Source organism: Homo sapiens, chromosome 3 (assembly GCF_000001405.40).
Source record: "Homo sapiens chromosome 3, GRCh38.p14 Primary Assembly".
Taxonomy (NCBI): Eukaryota; Metazoa; Chordata; class Mammalia; order Primates; family Hominidae; genus Homo; species Homo sapiens.
This window is the reverse complement of record NC_000003.12, coordinates 7,636,341-7,654,844: the sequence shown is the minus strand read 5'-3', so window position 1 is coordinate 7,654,844 and position 18,504 is coordinate 7,636,341. Positions and strand designations below refer to the sequence as shown.

At 40.3% G+C, this 18,504-nt stretch overlaps 1 protein-coding gene across 7 annotated transcripts in view; it reads right to left on the bottom strand.

Annotated features, from left to right (window-relative positions):
• GRM7 (glutamate metabotropic receptor 7) overlaps positions 1–18,504 on the bottom strand; it is an 880,419-nt gene that overhangs the window by 86,689 nt on the left and 775,226 nt on the right. The window lies entirely within an intron of this gene.

Genomic DNA, 18,504 nt, shown 5'->3' with positions numbered 1-18,504 from the left:
TAATACAGAATTGGGAGTTAAGTTATGGATAGTATTTCGTAAGAACAAAAATTTGTGGCTACTATGCTTAACATTTACTATGTATAAGACACTGTGCTTTGTATAATGTACTTTATAGAGTAGCTAATTTCAGTGCTGTGATATCAACCTCAGGTGATTCTCATTTTTTCAGATAGACCCATAGATTTAGAAGTTCACAGAGCTGATTAGTGGAGAAGCTGGGCTTCAAACCCAGAGCTTCCTAGTTCCAAAGCCTATGTCTTAAGCTCTTCACTGGACTGGAAACAGTCAAAGTAATAAAATAGAAGTGTTCTTTATGAAACAGTGCAGCAGTAGTAACAAATCCAGGAAGGACAGCTTCTGATTCCCTCCATTTGAGGAGTTTCTAGGGCCATTCATTTATAAACAAAAGACAAAGTAAGGTAGAATGGTGACTGGAGTGGGTGATGCTTTAATTATAGAGATAGCACAGGGGCTAAAGATGTCACCCAACAGAAGTGGGAGTGACAGATGAGGCTAGTTACACTGTGCTTTGTCATTGTTATGTTGAGGAGACAAGTTTACTGAAAGGACAAACTCATGTCCAGGTTCTGTGGCATTTTCACAGTATCAATTACCTTGCAACTTATTTATGAACCCTCTCTACTTGCGCAAAGGTCTTTTTCAAAGCTGTTTTGAAGGGGCTTGCCATAAGACTCTATGAGCTCAGAGAAAGAGACCAGAAATCAGCAATATAGAGGAAGTGAGGGGAGAATTTGAAGAGGAACCTAAGGTAGGACAGCTATTAGCTATCAGCATTAGGGCATGATTATAAGTTTTCTGGCAAAAAATGAGAGAAGGCAAAAGTGCTGTCACATCAAGATGATTTAAGGAAGGGGGCAAGGGAGTAGCAGGGGTGCCAGCAGGATTTGGAAGCAGCACTGGTCTTAGAACCCTGGCCCCATCTTTTAGGTGAATTATTTGTCCTGTTTCTTTCTACATCTGTAAAATGGGTGTAACTTTACCTACCCTGTCTACTCCACAGAATCAAGGTGACGCTCAAAGGAGTCAGTATTTGTGAAAGCCCTGCTCTCAGGCAGGTTTTATTTGGCCAATGCAGTCTGTAAATTCAAATTTGAATGCCTTTCTTTGGAACATGCACCATCCACTTAATATTCAGTACTCATCTCATTTTACATCCTGCTGCTTCAGGAATTTTAGCTTGTGGACTCAAAACCCTTGGTTTAATGAGACTAACCAGCCATGTAATATGAGCACATTAACCTGTTTACATCTGGTGGCCATGGAGAGACTTGAGGGGCAGGGGTTAGAGGAAGGCTGGTTCTGGGGACTGGACTTTGAGATAGCCTAAAGTGCTAGGCAAGAGTAGACATGACCCTCAGAAACAGACCTTCCTCAGAGAAATCCAATGGCTTCTCAGATCTGTTACTTTGTGGATTTCACAAGTATCTGACCCTGGACCACATCTGAACACAATATTCTTACCTGGATCTCAACATCAGAATTATACATTTTCTGAAGACTAGTAGAGAGGCTTTTAAAAAATTAATAATACTAGTCATAAATGATGCCATTTATTGAGTGCTTGTCCTAAAAGCATTTACAGTTAGGTAGAGTAAGAGGGGAGAAAGATGTAAAGCAAAAAAAAAAAAAAAAAAAAAAAAGGATATAGTATGTTACAATGGAAAGTGCTATAGAATATAACACAAAGCAGGCTAAGGAGATGCTGGAGGGCAGAGGAGTGGTTTGCGGTATTCAGTAAGAGTAGGAGCTCATTGCAAAGGGGAAATGTGAGCAATGATGTGGCGGTGAGATTGTTAGCCAGGCGGGGAGCTGGAAGCAGGACATTCCAGAGAGACCCTATGGTTCAACAGGGATGGTGAGTTCAGCCTGAACCAGGGATGTGCCTGATGTGAAAAACTCCATTGTCCTGTGGTGAGGATGAAATGGGATCATAAATGCTACATACTTAGCCCTGGTCCTTGCCTTATGGAAAGGTTTCAAAAAGAATTAGATGTTATGCATACAGCTGGTCTCAGAAAACACTCTAATTTTTAATGATCTGGGCCTTATTGTCATCTTATAATTTCTGTAAATTTACTGAAATGGGTTTTGCTTATTTTGACTGGCATGGCCAACCATAATGGGTGGTTTCAGTCAACTTAATTCCTTGTGAAAGCGTATTCCTGCAAAAGAGCCATGGGGTGCAAACTGCAGGCTGGGTGGAGTCCCATCTAGGTTCAGCACTGAGGATTTCTGATGGCTAACAACAGCCTTGTGAAGGGAGCCATGTTTGTTCCCCTCACTGGACAAATGAGGAAACTGACGCTGACAGAGGTGAAGGGATTGACTTGCCCCACTAGAAAGGGGCAGAGCTAAGCAAACACACATCTTCTACCCAGAGTCCTTCCATGAGTCTGTTTATTGAACAAATGCTCTTTGCCGGGTACTGCTCTAAACCCACCCAAAGTGGCCCTCTCTTTCCTTCTGAGAACTTTCCCTATCCCTTCTCCCCTAACCAGTCCTTGGCCTGAGCAATTAGATTCATGGAACATAAGTAGAATGACCACATGTCCCTTTTTGCCATGGACGGTCCTGTTTTTACCTGTGTCTTGGCTTGATTATTACTGGTTTCCCCCTTCACTCTCAAACATGTACCAGTTTGGAAGACTAACTTCATAGTCATTCTGGATAAAATATCTGTATACTATTCAGAACAAGCCAGCTGCCATTCACTGATTTGGTGCCTTGGTTTAAAGCATGGTTTGCTCAGGTAAATGGACTACCCTTCAGGATTGAATGTTCCATTTTTTCCCCCCAAATGTTGGTCAAAATGTCCTGTTAAGAACTTGTTCAATTCCAAAGGAATAAGAGGTAGGAGAAGGCAGGGACAATATTCAAGATATTTGCCAACCTTGGCAGGGGCTGAGAGCTTGAGCTGTATGTGTGCAGCTAGGCTTGGCTGGGGGAAGGAAGAAATTCCACTCCCCACCTCCAATCTTTCTCCTGCTGGCTGGAGCTTTTTGCTATGGACTTCGGACCACATCCATTAAGCTTCCTCCTGTCTATGAATTGCTATTTCTTCTGCAAAATGAGGGATGGGACTCTGTTATCTCAAAACCCCACAGTGCTGCTTACTTAACAATTGCAGCAAGACAGAGAAGAGGACCTCTTTGGACCAAATGTTGAGATTTAGTTGAAATTTCCTGCATGGAACTGAGCAGCAATTCTTCTCACAGAGCCAGGACTGAGGATTCTTTGCCAAGGAGATATAATGAGATGTATGTAAATAGCTCTCCCCTTCTTGTTCTTTCTGCCTTCAGCCTCCTCAATTATAGAGCAAGAGCTTTGCCAGTTTGCCCGAGTTCTAGAAATTTACCTCTTCGGTCCAGCAAAACAGGCATTAAGAAGCCTATAAATAATCATCTTATTCTCACATCTCTGCAACAGCAGGGAGGCTGGTACTGCAAACAAATGAACTGGCAGTTCATAGACAACTCAAATGAATACTGAAGGAGGAAGCTTACAGGATGCATTTGGAAGTAAAAGCAGCACTTTTTTTCCCCAAGGAGGATCAAAAGCAATTCCCCTTCACTCCCACCTATCTTGTGGCTTTAATTCTTTTCCAGGATAAGGTCCACAGCTTGGTTTCTCTCTTTGAGATGCTGATGCTAAACATGAGAAAGGAGAAAGAAACCCTTTGGGTCCCTGAACTCTGGGATCCTGTCAGTTATCAGGAGAAGACGTGAACTGTATGAACACCCTGTGCTATTTAAGCTTCATGTGTTGAATAAGAAAAAGAGGCTGCCTTCTTTCCCCACAATTTTCCTTCAAATCAAAAAGTTACAGTCAGAGCTGGGGTTTGGGGGTAGGATCAGGAGGCAGTCTTCATGATTTTTCATTAGTGCCCTCACTATAATGTTTTAAGAACCCTCTGACTCTTTCTTTTTTAGAATGAGGCAAGCCGGATGCAGTGGCTCATGCCTGTAATCCCAGCTACTCAGGAGGCTGAGGCAGGAGAATCTCTTGGAGCCAGGAGGCTAAGGTTGCAGTCAGCCGAGATTGTGCCACTGCACTCCAGCCTGGGCAACAGAGGGAGACTCCATCTCTAAATAAATAAATAAAAGCAAAATATTGTTATGGACTTTGAATTTTCTCAATCTATTCCTAGAAAATGACCTTTGCTTGCCCTCTGTAGACAGAAAGGAATTCCACACTTCATAGTGCTATTGTAATCAATAATTAACCTCATCTGAAACAGAATTAGAACCAGAGCCTCAACAGCTAACAGAATTCCTTCTGCAAGGTAAATTAAAAAACAAAAACAACACTTTTTTTACCTTTTGAACCAGCAGCAAGAATTATTTAGAAACTTCCATTTGGCCTGACACAAAGTACCATCTTTTTAGTATAGTAACTAGTAGTGGGTTCTGTACACAGTGGCTTATACACAGCATCTCACTTAATTCCTGCACAGCATAAGAGACGGGTAGATGGGTACCATTACTATCACCCGGGTTCAGATCAGAAAGGGAGGCTCAGAGGACTTACATCCTCATTCAAGGCTATAAAGCTGGGAAGGGGCAGAGCCAGAATTCATACCTGAGAGTGTTTTCACTCTGTAGCTCATGGGCTTATAGCAAGCAAGCTTTTGAGAAACACTAATGTTACTTAATAGCATTAACCTCGAAACATCATTAAGTCATTTTTTAAATCACCATATTTTCCTTGCGTAGGATAAAAGGTTTTCTTCCTTTGTGGAATAAGCTGGATATCTAGACACAAGCATTCAAATACAAATAATGTAGAAAAGAACATAAAAACAAATAAGTCACCCTATAATTAAATCCTCAAATTTTCCATTTGAAGCCTAGATAATGATGTACTGTAATTATTATAAAAATAACAATCTATTATCACCACTATGAAATTAGCTGTTATTACAGAACTCATATTGGCTTTGAACATCTCTTCTTGTTAAAGAAGTACCCCCCCGCCCAAACCTGTTTCCTATTTTTTTTTTCTTTTGCCAGCAGTAGAAATAAATTTGGGTGGAAAATTATATAGGCCATGTTATATGATTAGGAATAGTTTTAGGGAGGAGGATGGTAAATAGTTGAAGTCAGCCAACAATCATTCTTTACCTAAATATCAATAAATCCCCTGCCGAAAGACAAAGGGACTGTGTTACAAAGGTGATGATGGTGTAAAAATAGTCAACTCACGCAAGTTAGCAAGGGGGTATGTGTGACACTGTCATATATACCAGTGTTATTCATATGTCTCTGCCACGTTGAACCACTGAGCAAAAACAACAAAAAATCGCAAGAGACAAAAATAACCACTATCAACAAGAAGTCAAGAAATTTAATATTTTTTGAAACCTTCATCAAAAAGGTTTATTTTACCATCCTGGCTGAATGAAACATACAGTAACTTAAAGAAAATTTGAATTTCGGCTGGGCGCGGTGGCTCACACCTGTAATCCCAGCACTTTGCTGTAATCCCAGCACTTTGGGAGGCCGAGGCAGGAGGATCACGAGGTCAGGAGATCGGGACTATCCTGGCTAACACGGTGAAACCCCGTCTCTACTAAAAATACATAAAATTAGCCGGGCGTGGTAGTGGGTGCCTGTAGTCCCAGCTACTCGGGAGGCTGAGGCAGGAGAATGGCGTGAACCCGGGAGGCGGAGCTAGCAGTGAGCCGAGATCGCACCACTGCACTCCAGCCTGGGCAACAGAGCGAGACTCCATCTCAAAAAAAAAAAAAGAAAATCTGAATTTCATCTGAGGCTGTCATTTTCCCTGCGGCATGAACTTGGTACTATCTGGCAGACACACAGTGCTAAGGGGCCTGGGGGGAAACAATGAGTGCTTCCTTCAGTTTGCTCCTTTAACCAAAGTCTCAGGCCACTCTGACTGAAATGTAGGAGACAATGGCCTGAATATTAGCAAGCCGTACTTGACTAAATCCACTAGTCAAAAGGAACGCCACAACGTCTGACTTTCGCCAAGTCCTAGAAGACCTATTTTTGTAGTCTTACCGTGGCTGTCACCTTGGAAGACAGCACACTTTATGTAATCTTTGGCTTTGCTGCATCTGAAGTCCTTTTGATATTTTCACAACATTAGACTTCTCTGCCCAGGTCCTAGGGGAAGTTGGCCTCTTCTTGATCCTTTTTTTTTTTTTCTTTTTGAGACGGAGTATCACTCTGTCACCCAAGCTGGAGTGCAGTGGTGCAATTTCAGCTCACTGCAGCCTCCACCTCCTAGGTTCAAGCGATTCTCCTGCCTCAGCCTCCTGAGTAGCTAGGGTTACAGGCACCTGCCACCATGCCCAGCTAACTTTTTGTATTTTTTAGTAGAGATGGGGTTTTACTATGTTGGCCAGGCTGGTCTCGAACTCCTGACCTCAGGTGATCCGCCCGCCTCAGCCTCCTAAAGTGCTAGGATTACAGATGTGAGCCACTGCACCCGGCCTTGATCCTTCTTGTGTCCCAGATCTTCAAGTCTTGCTTCAATTATCAATATGTTTTTTATTTTCCTTCCCCCTCATGGCCAATTTTTTTTTTTCTTTTAAAAACATAAAAAAAAAACTATTTATAGCACTAATTAAAATAATAGCCATATTAAGAGAAAGAAGTTAAGGGGTACTCATTTCTTTCTCAGAATCTTTTTTGGGAGCCCCCAAAACTCTTAAAGAAGAATGAAAGCTTTAGATACTGCTCTGGAAGTCACTGCCACACAAATAAGTTGTGTCCTGGTTTACATCTAGGGCCTCTACTGAGCACTGGGGGCATTGTTGTAAAATGCAGTTAGGCCGAGTGAGCTTCAAAGGCAAAAGACTCTTCTCTGGTGGAAATACTCTGTTTGTAGGGCTATGTAAAAACAAACAACAACAATGAAAATACAGATAATATTAATAATGGAAGTGGATAGCATCTCAAGTAGACTTGGGCACTTTTTATTTTCTTTCCTGCTAACCTCAAATCCATTTCTCCCTTGGTCTACCCCCTCCTTTAAAAAGCAAGACCATCTGCTCAAGTGACTCTTTCCATCCTCCATTCCTCTCCCTACCCCAGCCTGTAGCACATTTGTTGTCTGTTGACTGTTGATTCCAAATCCACATCTCTTGAGTCTGCCTACTTAACCTTCACTGCCACCATCGCTAGTCACCTAGAAGACTCCTAGTGGTCTCTATTATTACTCTTGTCCCCTCTATAATTCAGAGTGATTTTTTTCTTTCTTTAAATAAAATTATGTAGCCCTCATACTTCCAACTCCCCATTGGCTTTCTATTGTATTTGCCTTAAATTCCAGCCTCCTCAATATAGTCCACTTTGCTTCTGCACAATCTGACCTTAGCCTCTTTGGGTGCCCTTGTACCTGCTCTGTCCTAGTATACCAGCCTCCTTGTAGTTTCTTCAACAATTCAGTTCCTTTCCCAGTTGAGTTAGTTGGTCAAGGTAAATGTGTTTCATTTGTGGGCAAGGTGGGCTACAGCAAAAAAGAAAGCTGCTTTCTCAGGATTGGGAAGAAAAGGGAAGTGTCTGTACCCATTCTTTGTAAGAGCAAGGCAGGGGCCACTGTGAAGCTAACCAAAGAGGAAGCCAGAGTTAAGCTCTAATTCTTTGGCTCGGAAGCATGAGGAAAAAGAGGTTTTCCAGGCTAATTTTTACTGGCTGAGGGTCCACACCCACATCCTCATACCCACACGGGTTCTTTCCTTCCATCTACGTAATCATCCATTATCTATTTAGCAAATTTCATCAAGCATGGACTACGGCCCAGCAGGATAAAATGCCAAGGGAACATTATTAGGACAGAATGGATACAAATGGATTGAACTTTGGCCCTTGACCCAGTTCACCTCTACAAGTGTACCTGGTAATGCAGCCTTGTGACACAGACCCTGTTCGTGCCTCAGCCCCTGAGAATGACCTCCAGAATACAGACTTTACATGGCTACCTGAGGAAATGCTATTCTGATTAATGAAACAGCCCAGCTGTGGAATTACTTCCTTTAGACTAGGAAAGGGTTTTTTGGCCTGAAGAGGAATTGCAATCCAGAGCCATTCATTATCATCAAAGATGCTAACTCCATCCTCCAACTTCTCATACATGCACACATATACATATAACCTTCCCCCCCAAAATCACCATGAAGCACAGGAAGGTTTGTGGCTGTCTTTTTTTGGACATGAGAAACCAGGCAAAAGCTGTTGACAAAAAATTACAAGCATATCTTTGGGCCTATGTGTACTGCATGGCACTAACAAGGACCATCAAGAAGTTCAGTATTGGACCTGACAGGACTAACTGCACCATGATGGCTTAAAAATTGACTGTGGTCAGCGGGGCATGGCGGCTCACGTCTGTAATCCAAGCACTTTGGGAGGCTGAGGCAGGTGGATCATCAGGTCAGGAGTTCGAGACCAGCCTGACCAACATGGTGAAACCCCCTCTCTACTAAAAATACAAAAAAATTAGCCGAGTGTGGTGGCATGCACCTGTAATCCCAACTACTCAGGAGGCTGAGGCAGGATAATTGCTTGAACCTGGGAGGCAGAGGCTGCAGTGAGCCGAGATTGCACCACTTTACTCCAGCCTGGGCAACAGAGTGAGACTCCATCTCAAATAATAATAATAATAATAACAATAATAATTGACTGTGGTCCACCCAGGCAAACACATTAGAAGAAGGGAAAAAACCGGCGTGACCGCCATGGTGCATGGGCCCTGCATGGACACAAGACTTCTCTTTTGCATTAGATCGTGAGCTGCTCGTTAGATTTAAGTTCAAAACCAAGAGAAAGAGAAATGAAGAGATGTAATATTCTGATAGATCTTTAAACTTGTTAATGAGGGCTTAGCAAAAAGTCCTTCTGATTAAAACAACCAAACAGACGCTCCCCAAGTAATGACAAAATAAAATAGCTTATTTATGCAAGGACTGGGTGTGATAAGTTCTGTCTCAGTGTACTCCCAGGAGACTTTGGACATGGAAAGGAAAATTGGGGTCAGATTGGGGAAGATGACCACCTGTGGGGGCTAAATGCAAAGGCTGATAGCTCAGTCGTAAACAGGTCCACAAGAGCTTATTTTCAACACTTTCTCCCAGTAGCACACAGAACCACACTGCTGCTTCCAACACTGCACTCCAGGAGCCAAGTTAAGATTTTCTGTCTTATGACTCTGTGGCTCATAGAGATTAGCTTGTCAATTAGGTTTGGTGGGTTTAGGGAGATAGGGAATGTAGGCTTTTTTCTTTTCTTTTTTTTTTTTTTTTTTTTTTTTTAAGATGGAGTCTTGCTCTGTCACCCAGGCTAGAGTGTAGTGGGGCAACCTCGGCTCACTGCAACCTCTGACTCCTGGGTTCAAGTGATTCTCATGCCTTAGCCTCCCGAGTAGCTGGGATTACAGGCGCGCACCACCACACCCAGCTAATTTTTGTATTTTTAGTAGTGACGGGGTTTCACCATGTTGGCCAGGATGGTCTCAATCTCCTGACCTTGTGGTCTGCCCGCCTTGGCCTCCCAAAGTGCTGGGATTACAGGCGTGAGCCACTGTGCCCAGCCAACTGACAGTAGAAAATTCAGCTTCTTTGAAGTTTGCTTTCCATGACCTCTTTGATCCATCTACCTCAGTTTAGGAAAATGTGAGGTATAGGGAAGTAATTAGTGGTTTCTGAGGCAAGGTCTTAGTTATTCCTCCTGTCTGGTGGTAGGCAAGGCTCATTTTGGGGAAAATGGGCAGGACAGCCAGAGCTTTTGGGTAGGGATGTGAAACCTAGTTCTTTTCCATCTCCTGTTTGCATGCTCAACACACAAGCTGAAAGGGCATCTGCAGAAAGATGTTCCTGGTCAATGAAGCTTCAAGGGCAGTCTGTGAGTCTCAGTGGAGAACCAGCCAGGAGGCTGATGGGCAGGGAGGCTCCACTAGGACCAAGCAGAGGACTCTATGCTCTGGTCCTGACCTGGAAATGGAGAGTGAAGTCAATGCAGAATTTATATAGACTGTCCAGACAGTCTGGAAAATTGCCCCTAAGACTGTAGATTACCAAAGTCTTGGGGACAACTTTCCAGATAAAGTTGGCCTTAAAAATCTATATGGAAAAATCCAGATAATTGAGGCTAAAACATTTTCTATGGTAATTTGTCAGAATAATGGTTCACATTCTTATTTTCCCCAGCTAACATTCCCAGGACTACCCTTTCAAAGACTGAGAACTGAGATACCATGTTACAGTCTTCAGCATGGTGAGGAATAAAGATTGAGGAATAACATTTTTTCCTCAGTTTCTGCATCTTTGAATTATCTGAGAGGGAATTGAATTATTTAAGTAACTTGACAGAATAAAGAAAAATCATGTTACTCTCTAACATAATATACATCAAATGGCAACCAGGAGATAACTGAGGAATTAGGCCTGTGCCGTTAAAACTAACTATTTCTGCAAATTATATTATCAGAAGGTCTGTGGTTGTAGAAATATGTTTATGCATGTCCACAACTTCCTCTCCATTCTTTTTTGTGTTCTTTTGGCATCTTGTTAATCACACACTTTAAATCATGCCATATATATATGTACAGACACACACATATATATGTACAGACACACACATATATATGTACAGACATATATATATACGTACAGACATATATATATGTACAGACATATATATATATACGTACAGACATATATATACACACACACACACACAACATGCACAGTGTTTTAAAAATTGCAGATAAATGACAAGGTAAATATATAAGTATATATAAAAATATATACATATTTTATATATGGTGTGTGTGTGTGTGTATATATATATATACATGGTGCACACACATACATACACAATCTGATGATCTTCTCTCCAAGACCACATGTAGAAAAGCAAGACCATGGAATGGCCCAGCCCCTTAGATAACCATTATTCATATCTCACATACAAAAGACATGTTAAGGGAAAGAACATGCTGCTTCTACTGTGAATGGGTAAATGGATTTTAGAAAGAAATATCCTCCTTTCTCTCCTTCTCCACATGTAAAACACTTAGGCACTGTGGGACAATAATTGTGATGATGATAGTGATATTAATAACCTCTTATTTGGATGCTTGATGATTTATAAAGTGCTTTTCTCTGACATTGTCTCTGACCCCTGCCACACAATCCTGTATTGTAGGTGTTGTTAGCCTCATTTGACATTTAAAAGAAACAAAAAGCAAGGATTTAAGATAGAGTCCCTAACCTGTTGGCCAGTGGAAAGCTTCTGACCTATACAACAATATGTACAGTGTTTTAAAAATTGTGGATAAATGACTAGCATTTTAAAGTCTCAACTTTTTATGTAAAACTCTGGATTTCCAACTTCTCTTTAAAATTCTCAAGGCCTGGCCACCTTTATTTTAGAGGAATGACTCTTTTAAAGTAGGGCATGAGTACTTCAGTTTTCCAGAGTCCCACTGTGCCCTATCACCCATTAGTGCCCTGTTTTGTTTTTTTTGTTTGTTTTTCATTGGGCTCCCTGCGTAGCCCTTGTGAATACTGAAGTTGCAACCAGTTCTCAGAAAGCGTAAGAAATATGCTTAAGATCATGCAGCCAATAAATGGCAGAAGGAGAAATTGAAGCCAGAGCTCTGGTACCAGGCTTCTGTCTCTGACAGTGGCTCTCAAAGAGAATGACTTGAATTGGATGCTGAAATCCCAAGTATGGCGTATAGGGATCTGCATGTTGAACAATCACCCAGCACGTGATGTGATTAAAATCCTTGCAGTCTGTGACAAACTGCAAAAAGCCCCGTCTTAAGGACTCAGGAGACTTGGGAATCTCCTTGATTCTCTTACTAAACTAGCCTGTCTCTCAGTGTTGAATCATCAAGTATTTGGGCACTTACAGAGTTCTGTGTTCTCTGCTTGTAGATAACAATTGTTAGGGACCATAGATCCATTCATGATCTATAAAATGAGTGCATACCATGTGCTCATTTGTTTTCATGTTCTCATACATGAGAAACAGATTTTTCTGATTTATTCATCAAATATTTACTGAATGTCTACCTTGTAATTTGCATTATGTTTGGCTGTGAGGATCAACATGCCAGTTAAGACGTGATTGTTTGAGTTCTCCAACGAATAAATTCAAGTGAGACTGAGCCTGGATTACCCCAAAAGTACTTTGATACTTCACTTACCTTGGTAAGCACAGCCTTATTTAAAGCGTGCATGGAACTCACGTGGTTAATACAGTCCCGTGACCTTATTTCTTTCCTGGTGGCCACTGTATTTAGACTTACTTGACCAAATGTCTTTTACAAAAGCAATGTAAGTATTTCATTTTCTAGGCAAGGCATGATGAAAGCAGGAACCCACTCAAAACACCAGGTTTTAACCATCAATATTTCATTTGTTTGTATGAGATTGAGAATAGTTGAAATATTTCGTCTATGAGAGTGCACGATATGCATGTCTAAATTATGTCTTACCTCTCCCTCTACCACTTTTTTTTTGAGATTCTTAGGAAAATAAAAGGCAAATACAAACTCTACCCCTCTCTAAAGTTTTGAAATTTGACTAAGTATTTGGTACTCAAAATGTAGTCCCAGGACAAGGTATGTTGGTAGCTCCGGGAAGTTTGCTAGGAATGTATATTCCTAGGCAAAAATGTACATTTACGAAGACTCTCAGGTAATTTCTATGTACACTAAAGTCAGAAAAGCAAGCCCTTGGTTAAGTTCCTTGTTAACAGTTCACTAGATGTGGTTGTTTTGGTATATAGCCTTATTTTAGAAGGACTATTAGATGCAGAAAAGCTATGCAGTAGGAAACAGGTGGTACGATGTATTTACTCACTGAATGGTCTGGAATATGTTGATTTTTTTTTTAATGACGGTTTTCCCCATCTTGATTTCAAAGTAAACATGGTAGGAGAGTGTGAGCTCATAGAAAATACCAAAACAAAACAAAACGACAATGTAGAAAATGTGATCTTAAGAATTTACAAGGATTTCTTATGTATTAGACATTAAGTCCTTGTCTTTTATATGTATTTGCAGTATTGTCCCTGTTTTTGTTTTGTTTGTAATGTTTATCAGAATTTCATGTTGTTATGTAGTCACATCATTGCGTATTATTTTCCTTATTATCTCTTCTTTTAAGATCAATAATTATTAGCCTTGGCTGTACATTAGAATCATCTGGGAGCTTTGAAAACCATTGATGCTTGGATTCTCCCCATTCTCCCCTCCCCTGGACATCCCAATTTGATTAATTTGGTGTCCTACATGGGTATAAAGATTTTCACATGTTCCCAAAGTGATGGTATTGTGCCACCAGGGTTAAAAACCACTGCCCTAGAAAGTCCTTCTCTATAGCAAGATTAGATAATATTCAGCCACAAGTGCTTCTAAATATTCCATGGTTTTATTCTTCACCTGTTTCTTAGTTTGTCATATAATATGGATTTGGATTAAACCCAGGACACATTTGAATAATATATTGTCAGTTCTTCTTTCTGTCTGTAATTCCTATTTTATCTTTTCCTTTTAGTTCCAGCAGATAATTGGTCTCAAAATTAAATTTCAGATGACTTATTACTACAATGGCAGAGGGTCAGAAAGTAACATTCCAGAAGTAAAAAGTTCTAGAGGTTTCTGGAGTCAGAGTTTTTGGAAGAAGTAGGAAGAAATTGAGTTTACTGCTTCATTTGCAAACAATCACTAGGAAATTTTTCCTTTCACTAACTAAATTGGTTAATGATTAATTTATTCAGTTTAGATTGAGTCAACAACCATCTTAACAGTAATCACCAGAGAGATAAAATGGAAACTTCTGGGGCTCTAAAACTTTACTCTTTAACAGTTGCTCTATAATTATGACACCTCTACTGAGTGGTTTGTGAATGGAAAAAATAGCTGTCAGAGGCAGACATATCTAGTGGTTAGTCATTGTCATGGCTTAGTTGAAAGTCAGAGGTCTTGACATTGCATTATATCATCTTGACTTCAGTTAGGAGACAAAGCAATTTGTCCTTTACCCAAAAATGCAGATGATATCACTCCAGAAAGCTTCACATCATTTTCATAATTTTTATAGTTTTCCAAGTCCCATTAGATTGCCACTCAGTTCTAAGACTTTACAAGCTTAAAGTAAAGTACTAGGCTATAGCTATTGCTATAAATAGTATTTCTCAGACTTTCCTTAGATTCTCTTTACACACAAACTCAAAGAGAAAATGGAATATATTTTCCTTCTATATGCTTGACTGGCATCATTCAGATTTTAAATTTTCAACATGGATCACATTCCATTATTATTGGAGAACAAGTAGAATTTTTGACATTTTAGTTTAAAATTTGTGCTTATAAAATCCACAGAATTCAGAGCATGGTAGCCAATTCCAGGCATGTGGGCATGTCAAAATGCAGAATTTCATCACACAAGGCACTGAGCCTTTGCTATTAATTCTCACAGAATATAAAGTGCCATAGATATTGCACTGTCTTTCTCTTCGCATCATGCTTAATAAACCCTCATTGCTATAGAACACCTGTCCCAGTGGCATGTAGTTTTACACAGATCATGCTATCTTGCTTCCATGTGATCTTTCTAGCTGAAGTCATCTAGTGAGCTAAGAATGAAATTGATCATTTGCCCAACATGCGTTGGTCATCAACTATATGTAAAACCCTGTGTAGGGCATTGTGGCGGATAGGAAGATAAATTAGTGTGGAACCTTGCCCAAAAGAGGTCATTTGTTAGGCAAGGATGTCTTATAAAATGTGGAAACAAAGCATTTCAGGAATACAGGGCTGTATATATACTATGACATGATTGAATCTCAAAAAATAAATTGAGTATAATTATACAGACACAAAAGAGTATATACTGAATGATTTCATTCATATGATGTTCAAGCACAAACAGAACTAATCTATGATGATCAAATCGGAATAATGGTTATCTGAAGATGGGTCCTGACTAGAAAGGGACATAAAAAACTTTCTGAGTGATGGAAATCTATATCTTGTTGTGGGCGACAGTTACATAAGTGTACACATTTGTCAAAATGTATCCCAAACACATTTAAGACTTGTACATTTCACTGCTTTATGACATATATAAAATTATATGTATACTGCATACATATATTACATGTATTTTTCATTAGTGATGCTGCTTATGTAGCATCACTAATTTAAAAAGGTAGTAGGAGTTTAAAGGAAGGAGAAATTTTAGGGAAAGTTGTAAAGACTTAAAAAAGGTGATAATATTAAAATGGGCCTTGAAGAGTGAATAACACTTAATATAGAGGAGATCTATGGGAAGAAAGAAAACAAACTAGAGAGTGTTCACTGCAGGGTCAATAACTCTGTAAGCCTTGCACTTTCAGGGCAGTTGTGAAAGGAAATACTTGCAATATATTAATGGGAGAGATAGAAGGGCAGCTTGGGGAATTACACTTAGATCATCAGGTAAATGGGAGCCAGTAAATGTTTTTGGGTAAGGGAGAAGTGTGCTTGCGGCTGCGCATGGGCAAGATGGGTCTGGCCACACTGTGTCCACAGATAACTCACAGAGAGAGAGGGGAGTGACAGAAATGTATTAAACTCTAGAGAGGTGCTGGAGTTTCTAAAGAAGCAAAATTGGTGCTGGACATATTGAATGATAGTGGAGAAATGGGGAGATGTGACACATTTAATACACACCATGTAGGATTGTCTTCGAGTTGTCTGGATGTTGGAGGTGAGGGAGACAGAGGTGGAAGGTTTTAAGTTTGGCTGTCAAGAGGGGGTCAAGCAAATTAGGAAATGGAAAATAATAACAGGTCTATGAGAGGGTGTTGGACATCCCAAATTAGAGGAAAACCTGGGAAGACAAGCACATTTTGGACACATATTCAACAGCTGGCAAAGCTGAGAAGCTCAGACCAAAAGCATTTGGGAGATTCTGCCAAATCATTAGCTCTCTCTTCCCCTTGATTTCTCTTGACTTCCAATCCTTGACTGAGCCTTTAGATACAACTAATGCAGGGAGCACACAGTAGTGGTGTCTTCGTTTCCACATTGTCTTCTTTGTGCTGTGATCCCTGTTGATATTATGACCATCTTTCAAATGCTTCAGGGCAATGCAAATGTTTCTTCTAAGAGCATACCCTGAAATGGCCTTCCATTTGGATTATGGCAACAGCCCAAACTCATGGCAACAGCATGCCAATTTCAGAAAAAATATGGACAAATCCAAACACTAGATCCATTTTTCATTTAGAAAGAAAAGAGGTGATCTTACAGGAAGGCTTTGTTGCATTAGGGTGAGTGGGTGTGACTGACAGTAGGAATGTGGAGACCTTAGTGGGCATCCCACTTTTATTATCATCAAACTGGATCTAGAGCAATCTTTTACAGTCAATGATTTAGCTTCCTCTTTCATAAAAGGGGATACTGATGTCTTCCTTAGAGAGTTATTTTGAGTATCAAGTAAATTAATTGATGTCAAAATGCATTGCAAACTAAATTACTGAGTAAAATTGAATAGTGGGTATTCTGTTTTATAATGATGCAGTCCTTATATATTATGGAGCTTCTACTTTCATCATTGGATGCATTCCCAGGACATTTCAAAGACAGATTAATCTTTGCAAAGATTAATTTATGATTCTGGAACTTGACCTTACCCTCCCCTCAAACACTGTGGGCCTATTAAAGGAAGTGTGGAAATAAATGAAGAAGAAGTAGATAATTGTTGAACTCATAACCCAGGAAGATTTTCTTTCTCCTGGATTCTTATCTGGTGTCTCAATTCTCTTGGATATGCCAGAGAGAAATTATAGAAATTATAGAACTTTGCTCAAGGGAATACTCAGTACCTGGACACTGCCGTTCCTGTTGTGGGCAAACACAGCTTACTGAGTCTGCTGAGATCGATGTCAGAATTGTCAGATCAGATTCTGTGACTGCCGCCTGTGACTAAAGAATGCCGAAGAGGCTCCTGTGGGAGAGGCTGCTCAGAAACACAGCCTGCCAGTCTGTGTCTTTGCATTTCAGTGCTAATATTGCACTAGCTGTTGCTGTCATTCTTGCATCAAGTTCACATGACTCAGTGACAGGGCAACACCATTGTTCAGGTTGACCAACCTGTCACTACGGCCAGTGGTCTGCCATGAGCGTGTCCGCAGGTAGGTGTGTTTGTGTAAAATGACTCCATGTCATGTTTCAAACAGGTGTGCCTCCTCTTTACCTAACAGGCGATAGGCTCCTGCAAAGCCATGTTGGAGAGAATTTCTGTAAACCAAATTTTATTTTTCTATTGATTTCTTCTGGAAATTTAGGAATTCTTCGTGTCTGATGGATTTTTTAATAGAGGGTTGTGCCTGGCATCTCAGGATTGCGATCCGTCCTGAATGACAACAACAAAAACATCATTTGTTCCTTTGACTCAATGGCTGGCTTGACGTGATTCATTCTTTTGTAAGGAAACATATGATCAAGCCACCTTCTAATACACATCTTTCAGGAGTTTGGATGCTGTTTAAAGTGAGCATGGTGGCTCATGTCTAAAGTCCCAACACTTTGTGAGGCCAACAAGGGAGGATCATTTGACCCCAGGAATTTAAGGTTATAGTGAGCTATGATTGTGCCACTGCACTGTAGCCTGGGTGTCAGTATGAGACTTTGTCTCTAAAATTAAATAAGTAAATAAAAAATAAAGGGGACATGTCTTCAAATTTTCTTCTTCCTAATTGCAACATCTCCCCATGCATTTCTACCAACCACTCTTTTAAAAAATGGGGCAAAAATTTAGAATGCCTCAAATCATCTGGAGTATTCTCATGCCATGACCACGAAGTTAAAGGCTATTTCCATAATAAAGAGGGAAGACCATTTCACGGTATGCTTTTTGAGGAAATAATTGCATCTTATGAAACCACTGATGTTAGTAAACAGAATGCCTGGTGTTTCTATAATTTGCCAGTAACCCTGACAGGTCTGCAACACGAGATGGGGCTTGTCATTTTGCCACCATGCAACATTGAATCTTGGGCACTGAGAGCTTTGGGCATGATCAGTTAGGGCATGAGCTGAGCTTTTACCCAGCACTCAAAACACTACAACCCTAGGGTTCTCTCTGCATCTACACCCACTTGCTTTATGGGGAAGAATTTCATACTACAAAAGTGCCTGTGATCCGAGGATTCTCTAAAGCATCTGAACATTTCTGTCTTGAATGCCAATGATCAATTACATTTTTAAAATAAAAATTCTTGAATAAGATTTATAGGAACCTGCATGGTCTATCTCCCAAGTCACTTTCCTTATGTAGACTAATAGAACTCTCCTTATTACCTGACCCTTGGAATTTTTCTACCATGTTCTCATGGAATTATTCTCAACCGATGTTCTTGTAACTTTAGAGTGAACATGTACTCATTTTTCAAACAATGACAGTGTGTGTCCAGGCACCATTAGATGCTCAGGAAAATAAATAGGACAGAGGCCCCG